This window comes from Homo sapiens, chromosome 6 (genome assembly GCF_000001405.40).
Source record: "Homo sapiens chromosome 6, GRCh38.p14 Primary Assembly".
Classification (NCBI taxonomy): domain Eukaryota; kingdom Metazoa; phylum Chordata; class Mammalia; order Primates; family Hominidae; genus Homo; species Homo sapiens.
This window is the reverse complement of record NC_000006.12, coordinates 155,893,591-155,919,988: the sequence shown is the minus strand read 5'-3', so window position 1 is coordinate 155,919,988 and position 26,398 is coordinate 155,893,591. Positions and strand designations below refer to the sequence as shown.

At 37.7% G+C, this 26,398-nt stretch overlaps 2 long non-coding RNA genes across 2 annotated transcripts in view; both read left to right on the top strand.

Moving 5' to 3' along the window:
• The window catches only part of LOC101928923 (uncharacterized), a 487,547-nt gene that overhangs the window by 376,283 nt on the left and 84,866 nt on the right, over window positions 1-26,398 (top strand). The window lies entirely within an intron of this gene.
• Window positions 9,952-19,914, top strand: LOC124901443 (uncharacterized). Its single transcript, XR_007059828.1, has 2 exons — window positions 9,952-10,211; window positions 16,632-19,914. It is a non-coding gene; the product is annotated as an uncharacterized LOC124901443 (long non-coding RNA).

The window sequence follows — 26,398 nt, the reverse complement described above, 5'->3', positions numbered from 1 at the left end:
GAATCAGCTATGTCCCTTAAGCATCATGACACTATTTTTTAAAAAACAAAACACATTTAAAACCGACACATTAACTGACCATCAGTCACACAAGGAAAATCAGGTTTTTTTGACCCCTTCCCACTGCCACTTATGAAGAAGGATAGAAGATTCATCAATCTTAACTAGCATTAGTCAAGCATTTCATGGCGTCAAAGAAGTCAGTAGTACTTAATACAAAATTGTGTTCAAAATTGCTTAATTCTGGCCAGGCACGGTGGCTCATGCCTCTAATCCCAGGGCTTTGGGAGGTCGAGGCAGGTGAATCACTTGAGGTCAGGAGCTCAAGACCAGCCTGGCCAACATGGCGAAACCCTGTCTCTACTAAAAATACAAAAATTAGCCGGACATGGTGGCATGTGCCTGTAATCCCAGCTACTCAGGGGAGGCCGAACCATGAGAATAGCTTGAACCTGGGAGGTAGAGGTTGCAGTGACCCAAGATCATGCCACTGCACTCCAGCTTGGGGGATAGTGCAAGACTCTGCCTCCAAAAAAGAAAAAGAAAAAAGAAAAAATGCTTAATTCTAACGGAAATATGCTGGTATCTACAGACATTTGAATAAATACTACGATACTATGTAATGCCCATAGAGTAGATGCACATTTTGGCATTAGTAGATGTACATGTGGTCGTCTAAGGATGACCTTGTGAATTAAAACTAGTTCATGCAGCCAAGAGAGACAAGTTGCTGCCTTTCTGTTACAAAGTGCATCAGCCTGGGCAGCAAGCGGAGGCAGAGCACCTGAGTTCCCTGCAGCAGTTCTGACCAGGAAGGGAGGAAAGAAATGAAGAGATCTGGAGCAAATTCTCCCAGGGAGGACTGTGAAGGACTGAGACCTCTTGGATAGAATCTTGAGGAGAGGGAAATCCTAAAGCAGAGAGAGGGAAGTTCTCAGGGGGGCTGTGTCATTGGCACAAACATGCTAGTTCACCCCTCTGCTACCTGTCTCCTTTTAACAGGTGATTTTAAATGCTATAGCGCAATCCACCCTCTGACTCGTTTTAGCACGTTCTCACCTCTTCAGCCTTGTGGAAATGTATTGCCAATATCTACAGGCATTTGGTTACGTACCAGCACTATTCACCCACTGGCTGCAATGGCAGATGCCAAGATGGGATTTAAGCTCATAGGGCTTCTAGTGGCCAACTAGATAGAGCATCCTGGAGAAGTGAGGTGAAGCAGACTCAAACAAGGTTCAGGAATAGCAAGCATGCTTCTAAGACACTTATCAAGGCAGAAACTTTGCAGCAACGAGCAGGTCTGTACACAGAGGCAATAGCACTTTCCTATACGTCTCAAGGTTTTCCTTGAGAAGGTTTCCCCCAGTGTGAGTTATCGGCTGGTCCTCAGACCTCTGTATAGACTTTACAATCTTAGTAGTATTCACAGTCTTTTCATTTACTGTTTTGGTTCCCATTTTTCAAAAATTAAGTTTTCAAAGTAGTTCATTGTTTTAGATTGTATCCTGAGAAAACTTCGTGATTGAATCTCTCTCTCTATCTGCCTTTCTTCCTCTCTTCCCCCTTGTATATGTAGATGCACATATACATATATGTATATTTAAGTATATATATATATATTTAAGAGAACTATAATAATGCTTTACATACAGTGTTATAAGCTGTTGTTTTCACTTATGAATGTATCATAAATAGTCTTAAAAATCAAGAAATAAACATGTGCATCATTACTTCATAGAACTTATTACAGGATATTTAAATTATTTTGACTTATCACTAATTTAAACAAACTTTTAATGAACACATTTTTTCATGTATGTTGCACACTTGAACTATTATATCCTTAGAGTAAATACCTAGAAGTCAACTTGCCGGAATAGGAGAAATAAACATAAATTTGTTCGATAAAGATCAGAAAATTTCCTTTGAAAACAATTTAAGGTTTATATTTCTTTAATAATATATGCAAATTTGTATTTTCTTACATGTCTAATAACACATGTTATGCAAAATTTATTTTTGGTTTGCCAATCAAGAGAAAAAAAAGTTGTTTAATTTATATGATTTTGATTATCAGGGAGGCTTAATAATTGTATATGCTGATTGACTATTTGTATTTCATGTTTTCTGCAATTATCTTTTCATGTTTTTAGTGCCATTTTTCTGTTGGAATATTTGGTTTTTGTCCCTTTGTGTGGCATATATGTATATTATTGATTTTCCTCCTTTGTTATTATAAATATTCTTTTTATGATAAAAATTTTCAAATAGATACCAAACTGGAAGTAATAATCAGGGAGAAATTACATATTTTACAATTTTTCCTTCACACTTTAAGTTAATTTATGGACTTCTTTCCTAATTCAGTTTAATTAATTATTTTGTGTGTGTGAGGAGAGCCCTATTTTGCATTTGGTGAATATCATTTTCCTTACGTTATTTTTGGAGTTGATGATGTACCATGGCTATTTGGAGAATGTTAATATGTAACATTCAATTTTTAAAAGAAAATCTGTTGATCATTTGATGTGAGCACTAAGTCATGAAGAAGATGCTGACTCACCTGAATTCTCTCATCTCACTACATTATTTGTCAATGCTACAGATGGTTCTTTTTTTTCCTCTTGGAAAATGTTTATTTTTCAATACTCAATTGACTTCTGTTTCAAAAATATCAGCATCCAATCACTATCCTCGGGTCTGATACATAAGATGTACTTAAAATTATACAACTCTATTTAGGACATTCTAAAATATGCTGAGAAAAGAGATCTTTGTTATCTAAAGACATAAAAACAGTATCTAAGCAAAGTGAGGCTTAACCTAGATCTCTCAGCAGGCAATTAAAGAAAATGATTGCTGGAAAGAGATGCCTTAAATTGCATGTTTAAAAGACCTGGGAATCCTAATGTATACTTCCTGCCTCTTTCTCATCATATTGCTTAAAAAGTTCTGAGTTTTATAAGTTGAGAAATACAGGAACAGATGTGTTTGCTGAAATGTTTGAGTGCATAGCTCTTATGGATCTGGCACTGAGTTTCCTCCTTAATGCTATTAATTGCCTCTTTCCAAATACATGGATTTCATACTCTGATTTCTCTTCAGATCTAGAAATATATAAATTTCTAGATTTTTAAGAGCACGTTTTTTTACTTAAAAATGACATTTCTAATTTATATTGATGTTAATGGAAAAATTATTATAGAGCTATATTAAAGTTTTGATTGATACATAGATTAGATTTTCCAAGTTGATTCTCACCCTTTGTGGCCTTCTTGCGATAGAGAATCAAACACATTACGTTAAGGAGTAAAATACTTTTTTCAAATAAATGAACATGCTGTTCCCAAACTATAGCAAATATATTTTCAGAAATTTTTGTTCCTGGCACTCCCTGTTAAAATAAAAAACAGGGATGGATAAGATAGCTTTAATGACTCAAACTTTATCCTTTTAATAGCTTTTTCACATAGCTAACTGCTGGATGGATAGTTGACAGAGACTGGGTTCAATAGTAGTGCATAAAAACTCGGAATTACAATCTCAAATGTTGAAGCAGTGGAAAGACCTCAAATGCATTCACTGTTCTGCAAAAGTGGCTCTTTCTAATTTCACTTAGCAGACTATTACTTGTTCTCAATTTTTAAACTTTTCCTTCTACAGGAATAAGTGGGTCAGCTTCTCAGAGGCTATGAGGCAGTCAAGTTGATCTGCAGAATCTGTTCGATTAGGTCAACCTGAAACTGCAAGAAGCAGATGAAAAGATTTGGAGCCAAGTATCATTTCAGTTCTGGATCATATTGACATCTGTTACAACATATTATTAAACATAAAACCCCACATGGTACTCGAAATTATACAGGGAAAGAAAAATGCTACAAAATGCAAACCTTTTGGATTTTGTCACAAGTGAATAATATTTAAAATAAGCCAGTGGATGTCATATTTGTTTAAAGAAAATAAATATATCAGAAAGTGACAATCTGACTAATAGCTGAATTTAGTGGTTTTCTTCAAATGTCTTTAATTTATTATTGTCAGGTATGGAGGCCTGTTTTCAACATGTACAGTGTCCTACACTTTGGCTGCCTCTTGGAGGAAATGAGGCAATACCAATAAATACAAGAGTGCAGAATATTTGCAACAGGAAAACATGATATTACTGCCAAATCATATTTAATGCCTGGAGGGCCGATTTTCTTCCCACATCCTTTGATTTTCTTTCTCTTTCTTTTAGTTGCCTTTTTGCAATTTCACTACTCAGCAAAGTCATGGAACTAAGACATAAAAGCAGAATTCACTGGAATTTGGCAATGTGTTATTATATTTTGCCTTACCCTTCTCTTCTCCTTAGACTTGATTTACGTGGAATTTTGTTTGTAACTAAATTTTAATAGAATTAGAGCTGAGATAAAGACCAGATCCATGAGACAGTTAACAGGGGTGCCCATCTACGAGGGTGCTATACTTGGAAAAGTAATAAGGTGAGAAAATGTATATGGCTGAAATCTCCCAAGGACTAGTGGTTGGAGGAAAGGCATTATTGATCCACTGGTGATGACTTCCACATTGGTAGGTTCTATGCTAGTAGTTGATTACTTAATTACATTTAAAGAAATAAAGATGTGGTTAGATTAGTTGCAAAGACTTTTAAAATTTAAATACACATTTTTTTTCACAGTGTAAAGTACATAAGTCTGACCTGTGATCCAAGAAAACAGTGATGAGGTAAATTTTTTTTTTTATGTTTTTAGCTTTCCACATACTGCTCTTAGCCTTTCTTCTAAATAACTGTTGAAAAAAAATTTTTAAAATGTCACTTTCAGAGTACTAAGTTAATTGCTTTCCTGTGAGTCTTACGTGGCTCATACTGGTCTTGGCTAGAGAGATATGTATTTTTTTTTTGGTCCATTGCTATGTAAAGTGTTAAAACAAATGTCACTGGAAAATATAGATGAAATGTCAACTAGTGAAGCACACAGCATTTTTCTGACCACGAGATTTAAAGAACATTGTGTGTATCAGTGGAATACAACGCAAAAGTTGAATGGATTCTCCATATTCCTTGTAGAGCAGCACTTTTAGTGTCCAAAATAGGAGCTGGAGATTAGACATGGGTGCTCAGTTTCCTAGCACCTTCCATAAGCACAGACAATTGAAGGAGCATCCACGATTCTGTAATGCAGAAAAATAAACTTTCTCATTTTCTTAAATTAGGAAAACTCAGTTTGACCTGGCAAAAAGTCTGAGTGAGAATACTTAAAAAACAAGTCAGCTTTATTAATTATACAGTAGGACAGGGAAGCATTTTGTTATACAGCTTGAACTGAATACAAATATTTTGTGGTTATCATATTTATTATTAACATTAAAAGGCTAGTTCTCAGATGGTGTTTGAAAAAATTGCTACTTTTGCTTATTGATGTATTTATATATGTACTTATAAATACATATATGTATGTGTATCTCTCTATATATATATATGTGTGTGTATGTGTGTGTGTGTGTGTTCAGATGCTCCTTGACTTACAATGGGATTATGTCCCAATAAATCCATCATAAGCTAAAAAAGTTGAAAACACATTTAATACACCTAACCTACTGTGCATCATAGCTTAGCCTACCCTGCCTTAAGTGTTCTCAGAATGCTTACATTGGCCTACAGTGGGCCAGAGTCATCTGGCAACAGTACACTATAGAGTAGTGGTTGTTATCCCTTGTGATTGCGTGGATGAGTAGGAGCTGTGGTTTGCTGCTGCTGTCCACTATCCGGAGAGAGTATTGTATCGTATATTGCCAGCCGTGGGAAAAAAAAATCACAATTCAAAATTTGAAGTATAGTTTCTGCTGAATGCCTGTTGCTTTTGCATCATCATAAAGTCAAAAAATTATAACCCCAACCATCATAAGTTGGGGACCATCTGTGTATACGTACAGTCATGCATTGCTTAATGATAGGGATACCTTCTGAGAATTGCGTCATTAGGCGATTTCATGGTTGTACAATCATAGAGTGGACTTGCACAAACCCAGACGGTAGTGCCTACTGCACACCTAGGCTATAGGGTGTAGCCTATTGCTCCTAGGTTACAGACCTGTATAGCATGTTACTATACTGAATCCTACAAGCAATTGTAACACAATGGGAAGTATCTGTATACGCAAATGTAGTGAAAGTTCAGTAAAAATCTGGTATTATAATCTTATGGGATCACTATCATATATGCAGTCTGTCGTTGACCAAAATGTCATTTTGTGACACACCACTGGATGTATATGTAACACCTATGATGGTTAGACAACTCTGTTTTTCTCTAGCAGCTTTATTGTAATGTAACTTACAGATCATAAAATTTACCCTTTTAAAGTATACAGTTCAATGATTTTTAGTGAATGTTCAGAGTTGTGCACCATCACCACCATCCAATTTTATAACATTTTTTATTGCCCCAAAAAGATCCCTCGTGCCTGTTTACAGTTACTCTCCATTCCAACCCCAAGCCTCAGGCTAGCCCTAATCTACTCTCTGTCTCAATAGATTCATCTTTTCTGGTTACTATGCTAGAGACTCCTCCTTGCCATACTCTCAAGTAAAATTGCTAGGTCAGGGGCAATGCCTTCTGGGACTTTAGTGAATACCTTGGTTAGGGCAAGTTTTCTATTAGGAGGGATTACTGTGTGGGAGCTTAGAGCTCAAAAAGATCTTCCTAAATCTTCTCTTTAAAGAAGCAGTATGGTTAAAACTGAGCTGCAGACTGAGGCACACCTGGGTTTAATTTCTAGCTCTACTGCTTTCTAGAAGATTGACCACAAAAAAATAATTTAACCTCTCTAAGCAACATTTTCCAAATATGTGAAAGTATGGCTGTTGAAATATGACATTAAGTAATGTCAGTAAAGTGACTGACACCTAGTGTGTATTCAACAGAAACTTTCCTTATGGCTATACCTGAGCTTTCTCATCAAGGAAAATATACCCTAACTTTTGACCATTGTGTTTGACTTCAAATTTTTCTGCAATCCACCGAAGTGTCATTGTCATATGTTTCCTTTACATTTAACCCAAGCCTCTTTGGCTTTTTCACTAAAGAAGAGCTGCATGCTATCATCCAAATAAGGTCATATTATTTCCTGAAGCTACTCTGACTTCACCAACAATGTACATTTACTGAGAGCCTGTGATTGCTGTGTGAGTGATACAATGAAGACATAGTTGAAGAGCTAACAGCTCACTTGGAAACAAACAAGTCACTGGAAATCAAAAATGAATTAAATATGTATTTAGAGACATCAACAGTAATGGTTCTTTTTAACCAGCAATTTTGCTCCTGAATACCCACTGGAAGGAGAGGATCTTAAATGCAAAAAAAGATTTTTGGGCAGAGAGAATTGGCAAAGCATCAATCACAGCTGAAAATAACAGGAGATGGCTATTGAGCTATTCTTTAAAGGACGAATGAAATTTCAAATGCAGAAAATGGCACAAAAAGAGGCATTTCAGGAGAAGTGAACTTCAACTTCATTCATTCATTTATATTTTCGTTTATCAGATATGTGGATGTCTGCTTATATCAGTCAGCTTTCACTAGATTATTCTGAAGTAACAAACAATACCAAACCTTAGTGCCATATGAGGAAGAAAAATGTGTTTCTTATTCATAGTACATGTCTCTCTCTCTCTCTCTCTCTCTCTCTTTATGTTGTTTTACTTTGCTACAGTTCTGTGCCTTGTTCTTCATTCCCGGACCCAAGCTGACTTATCAGTCTCACAGCAGTGGGGAAAGAGCTATGGAAGAACCAGGAACAGGAACCATACAACGTGTCTTACATCTTCTGTCCTATATCACTTATGCTCGCATCTCGTTGGGCAAGAAAAGTTGTGGGGTCAAATATGATGTCCAGGGATAAGAATAGTAGAGACAGCCAGCTAAAATTGAGAGCAAATAAGATAACCTATCCTACTCCCACATTTTTAAGCAGTGAGCTTGAGACAGAATCACTACCTTAGGGAACCTACACTTTAGTATGAAAATGTGGAGGTGTGCCAGGACCTGCTTTGGCAAAAAAACAATGAATAACCTGGTAAGACGAGAGAATGTAAGGGAAGATTACACTGGAAAGAACATATGTGGTCAGATCAGAAAGACCTTAAATACCCTTTCTAAAGATTAGACTTAGTTTTAGAATCAATGGGCAGTAACTAAGTTGTCTGAAGTAGAGGTGTAGTGGTTAGTTCTTTGTGTCAAATTGATAGTCTATGTAGTACATAATTACTTCATTAAACACTGATTTAGGTGTTACTGTGAAGCTATTTTTCAGATGGGGCTAATATCTACAGTCAGTTGACTTTAAGTAAAGAATGTAGGTGGGCCTCACCCAATCAGTTAAAGGCTTAAGAGCAAAAACATATTTCCTGGAGGAGAAGAAATTCTGTCTCAAGATGGCAGTGTAGAAATCCCACCTGAGTTTCCAGCCTGCTGGCCTGCCCTGTAAGTGCTGGATTTGCTAGCCCCCACAATCGCATGAGCCGATTTTTAAATATCTTTATAAATATAGATATAGAGATAGATAGATAGATAACCTATTGGTTCTGTTTCTCTGGAAAACCCTAGTTCATAAGAGAATATCATGATTCAATTTTGTATAGATGGAAGAGATTTTGCAAATTAGAAAGGAAAGAATTTGCTAACTGCTCAGAGGTCAGCATGAGAGGAAAGAATTAAAGATGAACCCAGGACACTATTATTTTGTAAGCTAAGTAATTCTACTTTTTATATTATTTCTTGAAACTTTCTTCATGCTTTGTCCTTATTTTTACAATGGACTACTACATTGCTAATGACCCCAGTTTGTTTATTATTCATTATGATGTGCATATGTGAAAATACGTTCTATGCTGTAAATGTAAGTTCTTTCTTTTTGTAAATACACTGCTGCTCAATTTCTCAGTAATTGCTCCAAAATTTGAATTTTCTACCAGATGGGAAACAGAGATATCATCCATGACCAAGATCCAAGCATGCATCCCCACAAGGGCATGACAATAAGCGTTATTCTTTGATTTCTTCAAAATGCATTAGAGTTGCCCCAGATGAGTAAGAAAATATAAGAATTCCTTAGGTAGTCTCACCATTATCCCAAGAGGGCTGAGCCTTCATCAAACCTCTTTGGATGGCAGGATTAAGGGAGGTTGGAAACTGAGTCTGTCCTGATCGAGTTAATTCTCATCCCTACCCCATTGCTTACCTCTATAACTCTTTGGTTTCTGTCAGAGTTTCACAGGCTCCCAATGTATAACTAGGTCAGATATTTTTGTGGAATTATTATCATTTAGTATTTAATAATGTATTTACAGTATTAGATAAAGTTCTAAAACTGAGCCATTTAATTCCTGCTATATCCCTCTGAGATAATTTGCAATATCCTGTAAATGAGAAAATATAAAGAGTCACATGATTTGACCAGCCCCCCCACCCAAAAAAAAGTATGCCAACAAATCTATTTTCTCATAGAAATTGTTAAGTGAGAATAGTGAGCATAGCTCTTTCTGAGGGATTATGAAACAACAACAAAACAAGGAAGAACAACAACCAAAGAAGAATATATAGGCCATCAAGGAGCTAATGATCTGGTCTTAAAGAAAATACAAGTGTTGGCCAGGCACTGTGGCTCACGCCTGTAATCTCAGCACTTTGGGAGATCGAGGCGGGTGGATAACTTGAGGTCATGACTTCAAGACCAGCCTGGGCAACATGGAGAAATACTGTCTCTACAAAAAATACAAAAATTAGCCATTGTGTTGGCACACACCTGTAGTCTCAGCTACTCAAGAGTCTGAGGCAGGAGAATCACTTGAACCTGGAAGGCAGACATTGCAGTGAGCTGAGATCACACCACTGCACTAAAGCCTGGGTGACAGGATGCTCTGTCCAAAAAAAAAAAAAAAAAAACAGAGAGAGAGAGAAAGGACAGAAAACACTTGTGAAACAGGGTATTTCCCCCAACCCCTTCACAGGACTCACAGCAGGGGTGCCTTGTTTACCCAGCCTGCAGTTTTCAACTCCTCATGGGAGGGAGCATGCAAGTGAACAAAGCGGGAACTGGAATGCATGAATGCTGGAATCAGCTGTCCACTTCAGCCCCAGCAGAAATGAACTCCACTCACTTGGACTCACTGCACTCCACCCGTCATGGGAGGGAGTGCACAGGTGAGTGTGTGCAGGATCCAGGGTGAGCACTTTTGGGCACCAGCAGGAGCAAATTCCATGCAGGCCCTGTGACAGCATCTGGGGAGGTGCCTGAGACCCTGAAGCCCCAGAAGGAGGGTTACAGTTCTCTTTTAGCTCTGCGGATGGCTTACGTGTAAACAACTCAGAGGACCCTCTGCCTTTTCACATGAGGCAGCTGGCTTCTGCCAGCAAAAGCAAAGGGCAAGTGTGACAGCCTTTTGTATCTGCACTTGTGACTCCCAAACTCGTCTGGCGTACAGGAAAAATGAGGTCGCACAAACAAATTGAAGGATGGTAAATGTGGGGGATCTTATTGCTGATGAAAGTGGCTGTCAGAGGGAAGGGTAGCTGGAAAGAGGATGGGATGGGAAGATAATCTTCCCCTGAAGTCTGACCATCTCTGGATGGATTCTTCTTGGAAGTTATGCCAGGAAGCTGTCCCTCTGAAGTCAAGCTGCTTCCCTCTGAGGTCCAGCCATAGTCTCCGATGTCCAGCTGCTTTTCCTCTCTGCTGGCTGAGTCTGGGGTTTTTATGGGCACAGGACAGGGGCTCAGAAGGCCCATGGTTGGTTTTGGAAAAGGCAACATTTGAGCAGTAAAACGGGGATGTAAGTTCTCACTTTGGGCTGCAGTCTCAAGCTTTTCAGCTTGAGGATGGGCCTCACCAGGGACCCGCCCTTTTCTGCCTAGAATTTCTCTGCCTCCTGTCCTATCACTAGTATAAATTAATCCCTGAAGCACATTGTTCCACCATATCACAAACCTCCATCTCCTCACCTTTGCTTATGAGGTCCTACCTGAGTTCCTTGTTGTGACCTGTGGACCTGCCACCTGCTCATCTCCCCAGGGTGTGTTTCTCCCCCTGCTGCAGCAGAACCACACTATTTTTAGTTTTAAAACACAACATGATTTTAACTTTCTATGTCCAGAATGGAAACCCAGATCTTTCTCCCCAAACCTTCCCCATCTCAGTTACTCTGGCCAAAAAGTGTCAAGTTATCCATGACTGTGATTTTTTTCTTCATTCTATATCCAGTCTGCCTGCAAACCTGACTGAACTGAAAAATCTAACCTGTTATCATCCCCTTGAACATCTTGGTCTAAGCCACATGTCTGAGAGAAAAATACATAGTGAGGCTAAAAACAAAGAAACAAATGAACAGATACTGCCCAACTACCTCAAATTCAAAAGCACACAGTTGGACATTTAAATTAGGGGAGTCTAAAGTGTTGAAAGGTATTTGTTGTGGTATAACCAAGGCTCTCAGCCTCTAAACTATTTCTACATTATCAAAGATTTTAATTATTATATCCAAAATTTAATATGAATATCCTTTGGGAGTCATCTTTGAATAGATTTGCAACTCTCTAGCCTCTGGCTTTCTTAGGTATAGAGATATTCATGCATCATCTTCAACATTGTCACAGTAATGACAGCCTCCACTTTCCTTGGGTAATTGCTATGTTGCCAGGCACTATACTGAGTACTATAATCATTGTCACTAATTCTCATAAGACTCTTAAGATCAACATATTATTGTTACTAATGCTCAACTTTATTGTCATTATTATGATTCCCTTTTTATTAAGAAGGACACTGAAACACAAGGACGCTAAGTCTCCAGCCAGCCTCATGCCCCCTTACACCTGCATGATAGAGCCAGGATTCATACTCAAGCCTGCCTGGCACTGGAACCAGTCTTTCCACAGTCGTATGCTGCTCCCAGAGAGTTTAACTGGATAATTTTAAGATCGCTGCTAATTTTAAAAGTAAATCAGTCAACAGTTATTGGCACTTCTTGGTTAAATGCTTCACATACAGTTGGTGAAAATAGAGGCAATTTTTCATAATGTGCACCACTAGGCAAAACCTTGGGCTTCAGTAGACCATTGCTATCCTAGATACACGGAAAATGTACCTGATGGTTTTCTGAAAAGTCACTGGTCACTCATCCAGACTTAGTGAAGTCTGGAACTCAGTAAAAAGATCAACTCAGCTGATCCTAGTGTTGGCTAGCTGATAGGATATATACAGGTGTTTAAAAACTCCACTGTATTCACCTGCTCAGGTTGCTGTAACAGAATACCACAGGCTGAGTGGCTTAAACAACAGAAATTTATTTTCTCTGTGTTCTGGAAACTGGAAGTCCAAGGTCAACAGATGGTTAGGGTTTGTTTCTGGTAAGGGCTCTCTTCTTGGCATGTAGACAGCCGCCTTCTCATTACGTCCTCCTATGGCTTTTCTTCTCTGAACATGGAGAAGGAGCTCTGATTTCTTGTCCTCTTCTTATAAGAACACCAGTCCCATTGGATTAGGACCCCATGCATGTGATCTCTTTTAATCTTAATTACCTTCTTAAATGTCCTATCTCCAAATACAGTCACTCTGGGAGTTAGGGCTCCAACAGATGAATCTGGGGGATGCAGTTCAGTCCATAGAAGTCTACAGTTTTTCATCTGATGTTTGTGTTATTACTTATTTCAGCTTTTAATTTCTGAGTAGTAAATAATGTGTATTTAAAATTTCATTCTGTATATTGCTAAACTTAGATTTACAAACTTAAACCACGTATGAATTTATTGTTCATTAAGACAAATTACTTAGATGCCTAATGCGGCTGATTTTTGCATACTTACTGGATAATGTACAAAGTTACCATTTTCAGGCCACAAATACAAATACATCACACAATGTATAAATGTGAGGGATTTAATTTGAACTGATAAGATATACCTTTTAGGTGAATTAATATTTTATCTTACTCTCCTGTATTACCACCAACAAAAAACCACACTACTTTTAAATGTCAGTTAGGTTTTAGTGAAAATCATTTATTAAATGTTGTATACTCAGTTTAAATCTAACTGGGTAACTAAACATTAAAGGGGGAAAATCTATATTGGTCTAATTTGAATTATATGTTCTTCTCAACAAGCATAATTGCCATTGACTGCCTAAAGCACCATTGTCTAAGTCATGAATAATCATAAAACATTACAATTGGCACAAGAAGAATGGAAAGAAACCCATCAAAAAAAAAAAAGGAAGGCACAAAATACCAACAACCTCTCCTTCCCTTCTCCTCTGCCTAAAAGAATAAAGCCATGCAAAACACAATGACTTCATTACCTGAGAAAATGTGCTACCTGATAACCATGAGAAGCCTCATTTATTATAGATAGTATTTCACCTCGGTTTTGACATGTTATTCTGGAATGAAGCTCACTTGTTACCAAGTGTGTGTCATTTAAAAAGGAAAGGAAGCAAGAAGGAAGGAAGGAAGGAAAGAAAGAAGGAAGAAAGAAAGAGAGAGAGAAGGAAGGAAAGAAGGAAGGAAGGAAGGAAAGAGAAAGAAAGAAACCCTTAGTACCTTCATCTCCCCTTTCATTAACTGAGTTCTTAATTCAAAACTAGAAATACAGATTTTTCTTGGGCAGAATATTTTTCCAGAAGCTCTGGAAGTTGGCAAAATGTCACACCTTGGATATTTTATGAAGGACTTAAAGTTTACAGTCAATGAACCTCTTGCTTAGGGGGCATCTAGAACCACTTTCTAGAGCATATTCACTAAATTATCCTGTACTTGGTTTCTAGCATCCTAAGAGCTGTGGCTCTAGTAGATCCTCCCACACTAGGTAATATTAGAACAACCCAGAACACATGCCATTCTATTATCTTGGTGATTTGTTGAAAAATCCGTAGATTAGACTGAAAGTCAGTTTCCTTTAAATCACAATGTTAGTTCTGTGATATCAAAACTATTAGTTTTGTGCTATAGTGTTAGTTTGTGATAAAAAAATAATGAAATCCTGTCTTTTGCCGCAATATAGATGGATCTGGAGGCCATTACTTTAAAAGCCCTGACTATGCTGCTACACAATCTATGCAAGTAACAAAATTATGCTTGTACCCCATAAATTTATAGAAATAAATAAATATAAATAAATAAAACATAAAATAAATGTTAGCTGCTTATTCCAGGGTTAGCACTAATCTAAAGAGAGCTTTAATTCCCAGGTAGAATGCATATTTCCTGCCTCTGATTTTTATGGTTATTTTCTAATCCCCACAATGCCTTACTCAATTTGCATTTTGATACTTGGGATACTTTGTTTGCTAAAGTACTTGTCTTACCCACTGGGCGATGTGTTCTTGATAAACAGTGGGTATTTCTTAATTATTTTTAGATTCTCTATGTTTAGCATATGGGGGAGAGGAATCAAATATTGAATAAGTATTTGCTAAATAAATAAGTAAATACTACATTTGATCATTTATTTAGCGTTTATTGAGTAATCCCATATATCAGAAATTGTTCTAGACCCTAAATACAAAGAGAAATCAGTGTTGATGCTTCCTCTTTGAGAATTCATGGCAGAGTGGAGATGAGAGGCCTAAAAACAGTTAGTTGGAATACAACAGGTTAAAAAAAGAAGTGCTAAAGAACAAAGAGAAGGGGAAAGTGAAGAGCCGCCAGTTCTATGCTCTATGTTTTTCAGAGTGAAGAAAGCAATGGCTAGCTTCAAGTAATACTTTATTCTGCAAATCATACATTATTTGTTGGCAGAAGGAAATTTTGTATAAAATGATGCCTTGAAAATCAGTTTTAGTTAGAATAGTTAAGGAGAAGTAGAAGCTGGTTATTCTCTTCTCCCAAGTATTAAAAAAGATTAGTAACCCAGAATCACTAAATGGAAAAGATAAACGGATTGGGAGTTAGAAGGTGTAAGTTCAAGCTCCAGGTTGGAACTATTGAGGCAAATAATTTGAGTTCCATATTCTTTTTTTTTTTTTTTTCCTGAGAGAGAGGGTCTTGCTCTGTCACCCAGGCTGGAGTGCATGGCCTGATCTCGACTCACTGCAACCTCTGCCTCCTGGCCTCAAAGGATGTTCATGCCTCAGCCACCCGAGTAGCTGGGATTACAGGCACCCACCACCATGTCCGGCTAATATTTGTATTTTTAGTAGAGACAGGGTTTTGCCATGTTGGCAAGGCTGGTCTCAGACTCCTGGTCTCATGTGATCTGCCCGCCTCAGCCTCCCAAATAGAAATACTATTTGGACATTTTTACTGCTATGTTTTCTCTTCAAAGCCATCTATTTGATAGGAGAGTGAAGAAAAACTATTAAATCAATAATTCCAAAGTGTTAGAATTTTAGAGTTTACAGACATCATGGAGGTCACTTAGCGCAACTCTCTACAAAGGATGGGTCTGAGCAGTACATCCTTAATAAATGGCTGTCCAAGTATGATTGACCTTTCCCTGTTCCACACCATGTCAGTTTCTACGGTTTTACATTCTGATTACCCTCACCCAGATATGTTCTAATTCCTTACTATTCTAAATGGCACCCAAGTGAAGCCCTAACTTCCTGCCGAGATCTGAGCTGTGAATAGTGAAAGAAGACTATCATCTTCCTTTCCTAGACACTATACATGCCTATTTTTTCATTTGTGTTGGCCATCTCATAACAATGTCAACATATGGTGAGACTTCAACCCATCAACCCCTAACTACTTGACCAAATGATGTTGTTGTAGTGTCCCTTCTCCACCATGCTCATGCAGTTTACTATGATCTGTTTGGATTTCATCTGTAAAAATGTGATGACAGTGACAATGTCATTCAATTCGTTTCTCATTCCTCCCAATGACATGAGATCCATCAATTTGGAAAATCATGCCTTCCTCTGCCATCATCCCAGGGACCCTGGTGCCCAGTGCCAGGCTGACTGCTAATTACTTACGGCTGAATGTCTGGAAAGAAATCCACCTAACTCCCCACCCCAGATCACTCTGTCCCTGGAATAACTTGAGAGATCTGGCCACGTGCTTTGTTGAAATTCAGAAAAATGCACAGCTTTTTCCAATATTGTTTATGAATTTGTTTCATATTTATTTTGTTACCTACAATCAGAATAAAAGAGAGTTTAAAATGCAGACATGGGGATAAAGTGGCCCAGTCCATGAAAATGATAGAGCCGGGTTTCCTAGCAGGAAATCCAAGCTGCCTATTATATCATCCGGGTTATGATTCCCACAGGGTTTCGGCTTAGAAGAAAACCTCTGCTGCCTGTGCAGTGATGCTTTAAATTCCTTTAATTTGTAGCTATTGCTTAATTAGAAATAAGCTTTAGATTGATATATGTGGAAAGTTAACATATTGACATGATTTCATACTAAAGAAGAAACATCTAATACCAGATTTGTTCCCAGGCAGATTTGATTCGGGATGGTAAGGTGAGGATAAGAGAGGATTGTTCTCAATTTGGTTCTGTAAATAGTTGTGACAATTCATTTATCTGCACAACTGAATTGAGTGATCTGGGACTAAAATTAGAACTAACATGGCATGTGTTTCACAGTTTCTGAGGCAGCTTCTTCTTACTCCTTCCAGAAGACTTTTGAGGATAAAGAAAGGATGAAAATTCTCCAAGAAAATGGAGCACCAAGACTGATGTTGCACGAAATGCCAAAATTTTGAAGAAAATTCCATCAACAACAAGATCTATAGAGAGGAATAGAGAAATATAATCAGAAGCACTCACAGATTTTGCTGCTTGAAGGAGCAAACCCACTCCCCTGAGAAGACAGACTGGGGCTTCTTTCCTCCCCCATGGCCTGCTTCTTGAACCAGCATTCTGAATCTGAAGTATTAACCTGAGAATTGGCTGTCCTTCTGTGCACACATGCTACATTTTGAGGTGACCTGAATACTATCTGCAACCCCCTCAATTAACAATTCCTTTTGAAGCCATGTATTAGACTGCACATTTAAATATAAGAGAAAAATTAAAAAGATGGGCAGTGGTATCTAGATCCAGGGAAGCTTAGTTACAATGAATAAAGAAGAGTAGGTGGAAAGAAACCTGAAATGTGGTTCAATTTTCCCATGTTTTTAGCTCAATGACTATCATCCCAGTGCCTTTCAACATGTTATAGTCCATACCGTCTTCAATGTATTCTGACCTAATTTTAGTGTATTTCTACCTAACCTTGATTTTGCCAGGGTTAGCATAGTTTAGTTATAATCACATGAAATATGATTTTTCAAGGAGGATATCCTCTCCCAAATAGTATATGCACTTGACCCCCATCCTTACTGTGCAAATATGGAACACAGAGCTAGACAAGGAAAATTGGGTTAAGCACTGATCTTATCAGTGTTCTTTAGGTTTCAATCAGAGACACAGAGGATTCTATTAACCCCCAACTCCACCATCAGTAGGAGGAACAAGGAAAATCTAGATACCCTGACCATTGACAAACACAAGAACTATACATGCATTCCCTCATTTGAGATAAAGACAAGAGAAAGATACAGTGTGGAATAAATGGTACATCATCCTGAAAAAAAAATCTTTGGAAATGACTTCACAAGAATTCTTAAAATGTAGTAAAGTGCTCTATGTCTTCAATATGATAGAAACATTTATGAACTCCATGAATCAGGAACTACAGGAATAAAAAGAGACTGTGTTGAGAGGAAAAGGAGTTGGGTGAATCAAGGTGGAGTAGCAATCATAAAACTTGAATCAGTGTTGGGAGCAGTAAAGAACGAACTGATGTTGTGGAAAATTAAAACACTAATATGGACCATAATATTGAGCTTTCCTGGAATGCAGATGAAAAGGATAAATACCGAAAAAAAAGTAGTGAGAAAAGATGAAGATACGGAATTTAGAAGAAAAAAGCTAACCTGAATATAACTAATGTTCTCAAAGAAGAGACAAGACAAAAATTAACTAAGCAATGATAAACTTTAAGCAATGATAACTTTCTTGTATTGAAGACCTATGTATTAGTCTGGGTTCTCTAGAGGGAAAGAACTAATAGGATAGATGTATATATAAAGGGGAGTTGATTAAGGAATATTGACTCACACTGTCACAAGTTGAGGTCCACAATAGGCCATCTGCAAGCTGAGGAGCAAGGAAGCCCGTCCGAGCCCTAAAGCTGAAGTACTTGGTGTCCGATGTTCAAGGGCAGGAAGCATCTAGCATGGGAGAAAGATGGAGGCCAGAAAACTAAACCAGTCCTGTCTTCCCACGTTCTTCTCCCTGCTTTTATTCTGGCTTTGCTGGCAGCTGATTAGATGGTGCCCACCCAGATTGAGGGTGGGTCTGCCTCTCCCAGTCCACTCACTCAAATGTTAATCTCCTTTGGCAACACCCTCACAGACACACCCAGGAAAAATACTTTGCACCCTTCAATCCAATCAAGTTGACACTCAGTATTAATCATCACAACCTATATCTTCAGATCCAATGAACCTAGGTAAAAGTAAAAAAAAAAAAAAAAAGATTTGCATAAAGACATATGAAGATGATATTTAAATGTGAAGACAAACAACATGTCCTGAAAGCATCTCATACAGGAGAAAACAAACATTACTTCCAAAGGAGCACATCAGGTAGGCCTGAGACTTCTCTTCACCAATTTCAAATGTCAGATAACAATGACAGAATTGTTACAGAGATCTGGAAGAGGAGAAAAAATACTCAAGAGTTTTATACTAAAGCAAGTAGTCTTTCATATGTGATCACACAACCAAAAACTCTTCTTAGATATGCTATTAGAGAATAACACATACTTCATAAGTCATTGTGAAAATTGTATGAAGTCATGAATGAGAGAAATGAACATTTGACTACTACCAAGTTCTGCATAAATGTAGGTTCCTATTACCTGACTGGCATTTGTAGATGTTTACTAAAATCAAATAGGAAGGGGGCATGTGATTTAACAGGCTTTTCTTAATCCTTGCTCAATCTCAGAGAGGGATGCCTGCTTACAAGCAGATACCTCACACTGAGCAGGAGGACTTGTTTTCTGGTGCTGAAACCTTGGTCAAGTGACTTAGACTTTCTGAGCTTCCATTTTTGTCTTCTGTAAAATAAGTTATTGGGGCTAAAATTTTCTTCTAGCTTTACTATTCCATGTTGTTTAAAAGTTTAAAGATCTATAAGTGGGGCATTATATTAGTAGAAGTTACACTTTAATATTCTTTTATTTTCTATGTTTTTACTTTAGAGACATAAAGCTTACTTTAGGAAGATATGCTGGATAAATGAATAGAGCAGATTTCAAATAAGTAACATTTGGATTTTGTTTGACTGGTCAAAAAGGACCAGGGAATGGGCACATTTAAAAATGCAAAAGGCTTGGGAGGCCGAGGCGGGTGGATCACGAAGTCAGGAGATTGAGACCATCCTGGCTAACACGGTGAAACCTCGTCTCTACTAAAAATACAGAAAAATTAGCCAGGCATGGTGACTGGCGCCTGTAGTCCCTGCTACTCAGGAGGCTGAGGCAAGAGAATGGCGTGAACCCGGGAGGCGGAGCTTGCAGTGAGCCGAGATCCTGCCACTGCACTCCAGCCTGGGCGACAGAGCTAGACTCCGTCTCAAAAAATAAATAAATAAATAATGCAAAAGGTAAAAATTATTAAACAAATAGGTTATGCGTGTATATACAATGCTTTAGCAGTTATATTTAAGGCCAGATAAAGATTTGAAATGCTCCAGCCCACAATACCATAATATTCAGCATGGGTGGGAGGGGATATGGCTGTAATGGGGTTAAAGAGGAGCACAGTAAAGTTTGTTAATGGAATCTCTGCGTGGACGGTGTTGAAACTTAAAGCACATTAATAATAAAAGCCCTGCTTTAAAAACTGACCTTGTAGTTGAAAGATATGCGATTGTGTCATTACCAATTAATGTGTAAGGTAACATAGCTTGTACTTGGAAAGCAACAAGGAGGAGTATCTAAATGATATTCACACATCTTAATTAGTGTCATTAATAGTTCTTTTGCCATCTTTCATGAGAGCAATGGCATCTTGCTGCAAGCCATTGCAAGCATCTTGTTATAAGTCAAACCAGGAAGCTAGATTTGAAGCCAAGTTCTTAAAAGTGGTTTTAAGCTACGGTGCCTACATGACTAGAATGTTTCTCTAGGGCCTCTTCTCAGCTGCAGGACTTTTGAAAGCAATCAGCAATAGAGCCAGACCTGAAGGTAATGGTGACTGATGGACAGCATTACAAGCGCTCTGTGAGATGAGAATGCAAAAACATGAGAAGAAATATGCAAAACAAATTTCTTCCTATAGCCTCCCCCGATGATTGATCAGTGATTTTAATACTATAGGTAAAAATGTGTATATATATAAATGTTTCATCTCTGAATTCATTATCTGCTACTGAACAAATGAAATATTTCCTAATGATATTCTGAAAGTTACTATAAGAGAAGCCCATCTAAAAATCCTTATTACTGAAAAATGTTGGTGCACTAGTGTACAGTGTGGCACAAACTGGTATAATTTAGGACCCATCACATGATGATTGCATCTTAAATTTTTTTACCTTCTCTGGAAACCATAATCTATATAACCTATACCTAAAATAAATTTTATTATTGCGTTTTCTTCTGACCCTAAAGGTACAATATCCTTTAAATGGGCTTGGAGGGGGAACTGGCAAAATACAAAGTAGAATAAAATTAAAAGGAAAAGAAATTGATGGGCTTCCATCCAGCTTTTTTTCTATATAAAATGTGTAATTATGAATATATATGCTCATAAATGCAATATTTAACTTATATATGTAGTTTTCTTTGTGTCACTGTCTTATGTCATTAAAATTTTTCAAAAGTATAATTAATATAAAATAGCCTATTTTATAGTTGTACCATGTCTGTCTGTCTGGGCTTCTATAAAAGGATATTATAGACTGGATGGCTCATAAACAATAGAAATTTATTTCTCACAGTTCTAGAGTCTGGGAAGTCCAAGATCAAGGAAACAGTACATTTGGGGTCTGGTGAGGGCCTGGTTCATAGATAGACGGTGGTCTTCCTGCTGTGTTCTTACATGGCAGAAGGGGCAAAAGGGCTTTGTCGGGCCTCTTGTATGAAGGCATTAATTCCATCCATTATCAAGTGACCTCCCAAAGGCCCCACCTCCTCATACTATCATATTGGTGCCTGGGTTTTAACATACAAATTTTGGGAAGACACATACAGGCCGTGGCATACCATAACTTAACTTATTGTTGAACATTTGAGTTATTCCCAATTTTTCACTATTAAAAAATAATCCTGGCCAGGCGAGGTGGCTCACGCCTGTAATCCCAACACTTTGGGAGGCCAAGGTGGGTAAGATCACTTGAGATCTGGAGTTCGAGACCAGCCTGGCCAACATGGCAAAACCCTGTCTCAAAAATACAAAAATTAGCTAGATGTGGTGGCCAGTGCCTGTAGTCAGGAGGACTACAGCTACTCAGGAGGCTGAGGCACAAGAATTGCTTTAACCCAGCAGGCGGAGGTTGCAGTGAGCCATCACATCATTGTACTCCAGCCTGGGAGACAGAGTGAGACTCCATCTCAAAAAAAAAAAAAAAAATCTGTGCTGAATATGTTTGCTCACGAATTTTGTTTATATTTCTAACTACTTTATTAAAATATATTCCTAGAAGCATCATGACTAACCCAAAGGGTGCATCCATCCTTAAGACTCTTCACACAGATTGTCAAACAGTCTAAAAAAGTCAAACCAAATATACTTCTACCATTTGGATATAAAGGGGCACAACTACAAAAACTATTTCATTTTTGTTTTTAATGTTACTCCTCATTAACAGTGAAAATAAATGTTTTCACATTTATTAGTTATTTGTGTTTTTTCTTCTAATAATTATCTGTTGATATCTTTTTAGATATTAGTATATTAATAGTAGTTTCTTTTATAATTAAGAATATCTTATGATACCAACTGTGATATCACTTTTCTTTTTTTTTTTTTTGAGACGGAATCTTGCTCTGTCACTGGGCTGGAGTGCAGTGGCGCCATTTCGGCTCACTGCAACCTCCGCCTCCTGGGTTCAAGCAATTCTCTTGTCTCAGCCTCCTGAGTAGCTGGGACTACAGACCCACACCACCACGCCTGGCTAATTTTTGTTTTTGTATTTTAGTTGGGATGGGGTTTCACCATGTTGGCCAAGACGGTCTCAACCTCCTGACCTTGTGATCCACCCACCTCGGCCTCTCAAATTGCTGGGATTACAGGCGTGAGCCACCGCGCCTGGCCACTATCACTATGTTTAAAAAGACAGACAATATTTATGACATTAACATTCATTTCTGTATTCCCTGTGTTCACCAAGTCTAATTGGTTTTTTGTTAGTCTGCTTTTTTTTTTTCAGGCAGTACAGGTATATTCAATTTTAGGCAGCTCTTGGCTTCTATTCCAATTTAAACAAGCTAGACACTTAAAATTTTTATATAAATAATTTTGTGAGTATTAAAACAAGTATTATAAGGCTATTGATCCTTTTTGCAGCAGAGTAGTGGTTTCATTGCTGAAGCAAAATACAGTATTATAAAGCTACATTAATATTTTTATTTCTATGGCTAGGTCAATCAATCTGGCTAACAACTGAGAAAAAAAGAGTTGTAATCAATTACATTCACACATCTATTTTATTTTTTGCATGTAGAAGCAGAGTTAAGTTCTTAGGTCATTACTAAAGCAATAATATATTCTATTCTACCTTGTGAAATTTTTAAGAAAATACGTAAAGAAGTTGCCCTTGGAAACACCTTCTTACAACAAAACAGAGACCCAATGGGGAAAGACATTTCTGAGGGCAGCTTAACTTTGTGTCTATAGCTGTAAAATAATAGAGATAATTAAAACAAAAAAACTTTTGAATTTAACTAAAAACATGCTTACATCACCTTATTTTTATTTAGTTTTAACTGGTCTATTATTTTCATATTTATTTGCCACCCTTAAAAAATGCCTTTGTTATCATAGCTTTTTCTTCTGAGACACATGCCTGTCTCCTATTTGAGTTCTGGTTCTAAGGTTATACAGTTTAGCAGTAGGAATTGTTTCTTTCTCCTCTTCTCCTTCTATGTACAATTGTTTTTTAAATATGGCCTACCCTGTATTACATAGGCATGCTATTTTTTATTTATTTATTTATTTATTTTTGAGACGGAGTTTCACTGTTGTTGCCCACGCTGGAGTGCAGTGGCACAATCTTGGCTCACTGCAACCTCCGCCTCCTGGGTTCAAGTGATTCTTCTGCCTCAGCCACCCCAGTAGCTGGGATTACAAGCATGCACCACCATGCCCGGCTAATTTTGTATTTTTAGTAGAGACGGGGTTTCTCCCTGTTTGTCAGGCTGGTCTTGAACTCCCCACCTCAGGTGATCTGCCGTCCTCGGCCTCCCAAAGTGCTGGGATTACAGGTGTGAGCCACCGTGCCCAGCCTAGGCATGCTATTTTTTTTAAACATATACTACTTTTTTTCATCATGTGGCAGAGATGAGTCGATTCAGCATGTTACTCTATTTAATCATTGACCAAAAGAAATCTACACATTCCCATGTTTTTCCAGTTCAAATAACTGATCTACAAAAAAAATTCTAATTTGGCTGTGTCTCTCAAATCTGCTAAACAGAGCAAAAAAATTATCAGGAGAAATGCCATACATATGACCATGAATAGAAAGCAGCCTGTCTGTATCCCAAACAAAAATATGTTTGGGAACTTTATGTAAACCTTTCGAAACACAGGTGGAATGGTCAAATGTTTTCTAAAATTGTTTATGCAGTTAATCACACTTGCGTATTTAAAATTTGCACATTAGGTTATGTATGTGTGCGTGGCTTCTTTCTAGTTCCACTTTATGGGCAAATATTTACCCCAGCTCTTCACCTGCATGTTTGACACCATTGATCAATGTCTTCATCTTCATTAAATGATTTTGAGTCACCTCACCGTGTTCTACTATTTACACTGAGGTCTTGAGACCAGCAGCATTGGCATGAAAACTCCTAGCCCCCAGTCGAGATCTCCGTTTTTATCAAGATTCCCAGAAGATGAGTATGCACATTCAAGTTTGAGAAGCATTGCTCCAGGGCATGTCATCTTCCCTTCAAAGTGCAGTTTTTAAAATAAAGCATACTCTGAATCTAGGTATGATGCTGACATTAGAAGTTGTATCTCAGGTTACAAACACCTTCATTTGAACATTAGGAAACATTTCCACTCATGCTACAAGAACATGTTCATGATCCAAACAACATAACCACTGAGTATATTGTTTTAAAAAGGGAGTTTGTCTTATTAAAACAATATCTAGCCCTAGAAACTTTGAGATTATACTTCCAAGTATAATGGCTAAATCTCCACTAAGCTTATCTTCTTTTAATGTTTTAAACCTGTTTAATCAGGCAATCTCCCTCAGCATCCGAAACTAGCATTATTTGAGGAGGTTTTATGGTAACATGTTTTCTCCAAAGAGTACTCAGTTGTTAAAAAATCAAATCAATGAAGTAATACTCAGTGGTATAAAAACTTGTAAAAATTTGACTACATGGGAGGGATACATTTTGGGGTGGATAAAACCCTTGCCTTATGTTTGGGAATATATGGTTCTTGTTGAATATATTTAGACATAAATACTGGCAGAGCACTTTATCTCTTGCTCTGTTTGGGGATGTTCAAATGTGGTTGGTCCTTCTGGGCATTAAAAAATATATATATATTTATTTTTCTGTAGCACAGCTGGAGATACATACACCACGTATACACATACACACGTATACAATACAACATAGATGTTAGTCAACTGCCACACACCTGCACGCACGCACACACACACAGACACATCATGGCAGGGGAAATCGTGGTTTTAAGAAGTACACTTGCCTCAAGCACCTAGCTTGACATTAGTTTCAACTTGACAATAGAGGTTTCAGGTGAATCCTGTTTCTCCTGAATTTCTATGGCTCTCCCTCTTGTAATTCATGGGAACTGATCAAGCTTCACAGTGTGACTCCAGGATGCCTCTTTGTTTCTGTTGTTTTTTCTCAATTTTGCTGGCTAAATAATGTAGCAAGCCTAATACATTCAAATAAAATTTCTGATTGATTTGGCAGCAGTTTAACAATCTAGAATAATTTACTGATCTCAGAGACTTCATGTGAGTCCATAATGTTTAGACTAGAAATAATAAAATGCACTCAATTGATTAAGCTGTTTGTAGTCGTCTAAGAATTAGCATATTGTATAATTGCAAATATTTTATAATTACCAAGTGGGGCTGATAAAAAGGTTCGGTGCTATCGACTGCTGGACTGATAACCTTGATGAGAGGAGATTCTCAATGAGAGGTGAATTCTCTGTGGGCTGAATACAGAGTGAACTGGAGGACTGCAGAGTTTAGTTTCTTCCTGCTGTTCCTTACTGTAGATGCCTGTAGGATTCCCCAAAGCTCTGCTCTGCAGAGGACAGTGCATGGGACCCTCATTGCTGTGTGGCTGTGCTCAAGAAAATGCTCTAATGAGACTCTCTGCCACCCTAGAGTGTACCTTTTCCCTAGAGTTCTGATATGGTTTGACTGTGTCCCCCCCCAAATCTCAACTCGAATTTTATCTGCCAGAATTCCCACGTGTTGTGGGAGGGGCCCAGTGGGAGGTAATTGAATCATGGGGCTAGTCTTGTCTGTGCTATGATTGTGATGGGAATAAGTCTCATGAGATGTGATGGGTTTATAAGGGGTTTCCGCTTTTCTTCTTTCTCATTTTCTCTTGCTGCTGCCATGTAAGAAGCGTCTTTTCCCTCCCACCATGAATTCGAGGCCTCCCCAGCCATGTGGAACTGGAAGTCCAATTAAACCTCGTTTTCTTCCCAGTCTTGGGTATGTCTTTATCAGCAGCCTGAAAACCAACTAATTCAGATTCCTACTGCGGGAATGAAATTTTCAGAACTCAAACTCAAAGCCAAGTGTGGCAGACTGACTGGGAACCTCTCCAGCCATAGTTTTCTGATGAGGTTTGTTTTGCTTTTGTTTGTTTGCTTTAAAATAATTCCTCATAATTTCCTAGTTTGTTTTGGAAGACTTCAGTTTATTATCGTTGCTGGTACTTTTACTTTCCTAAAAGTAGTAACATGTTCATGATCCTTAAAGCCTCTAATGTTACATAATTACAAAAAGTGAAAAATACAATTACTCACCTCTCACCCCATTGCACTTTCCACAGGCAAGTATTTTAAAATTTTTGTTTATATATTTCAAACTTTATAGTCATAAATAATATGGATTTTACCGCTGTTTTTTGTTTTATAAGCTTTAGGTAGCAAATGAA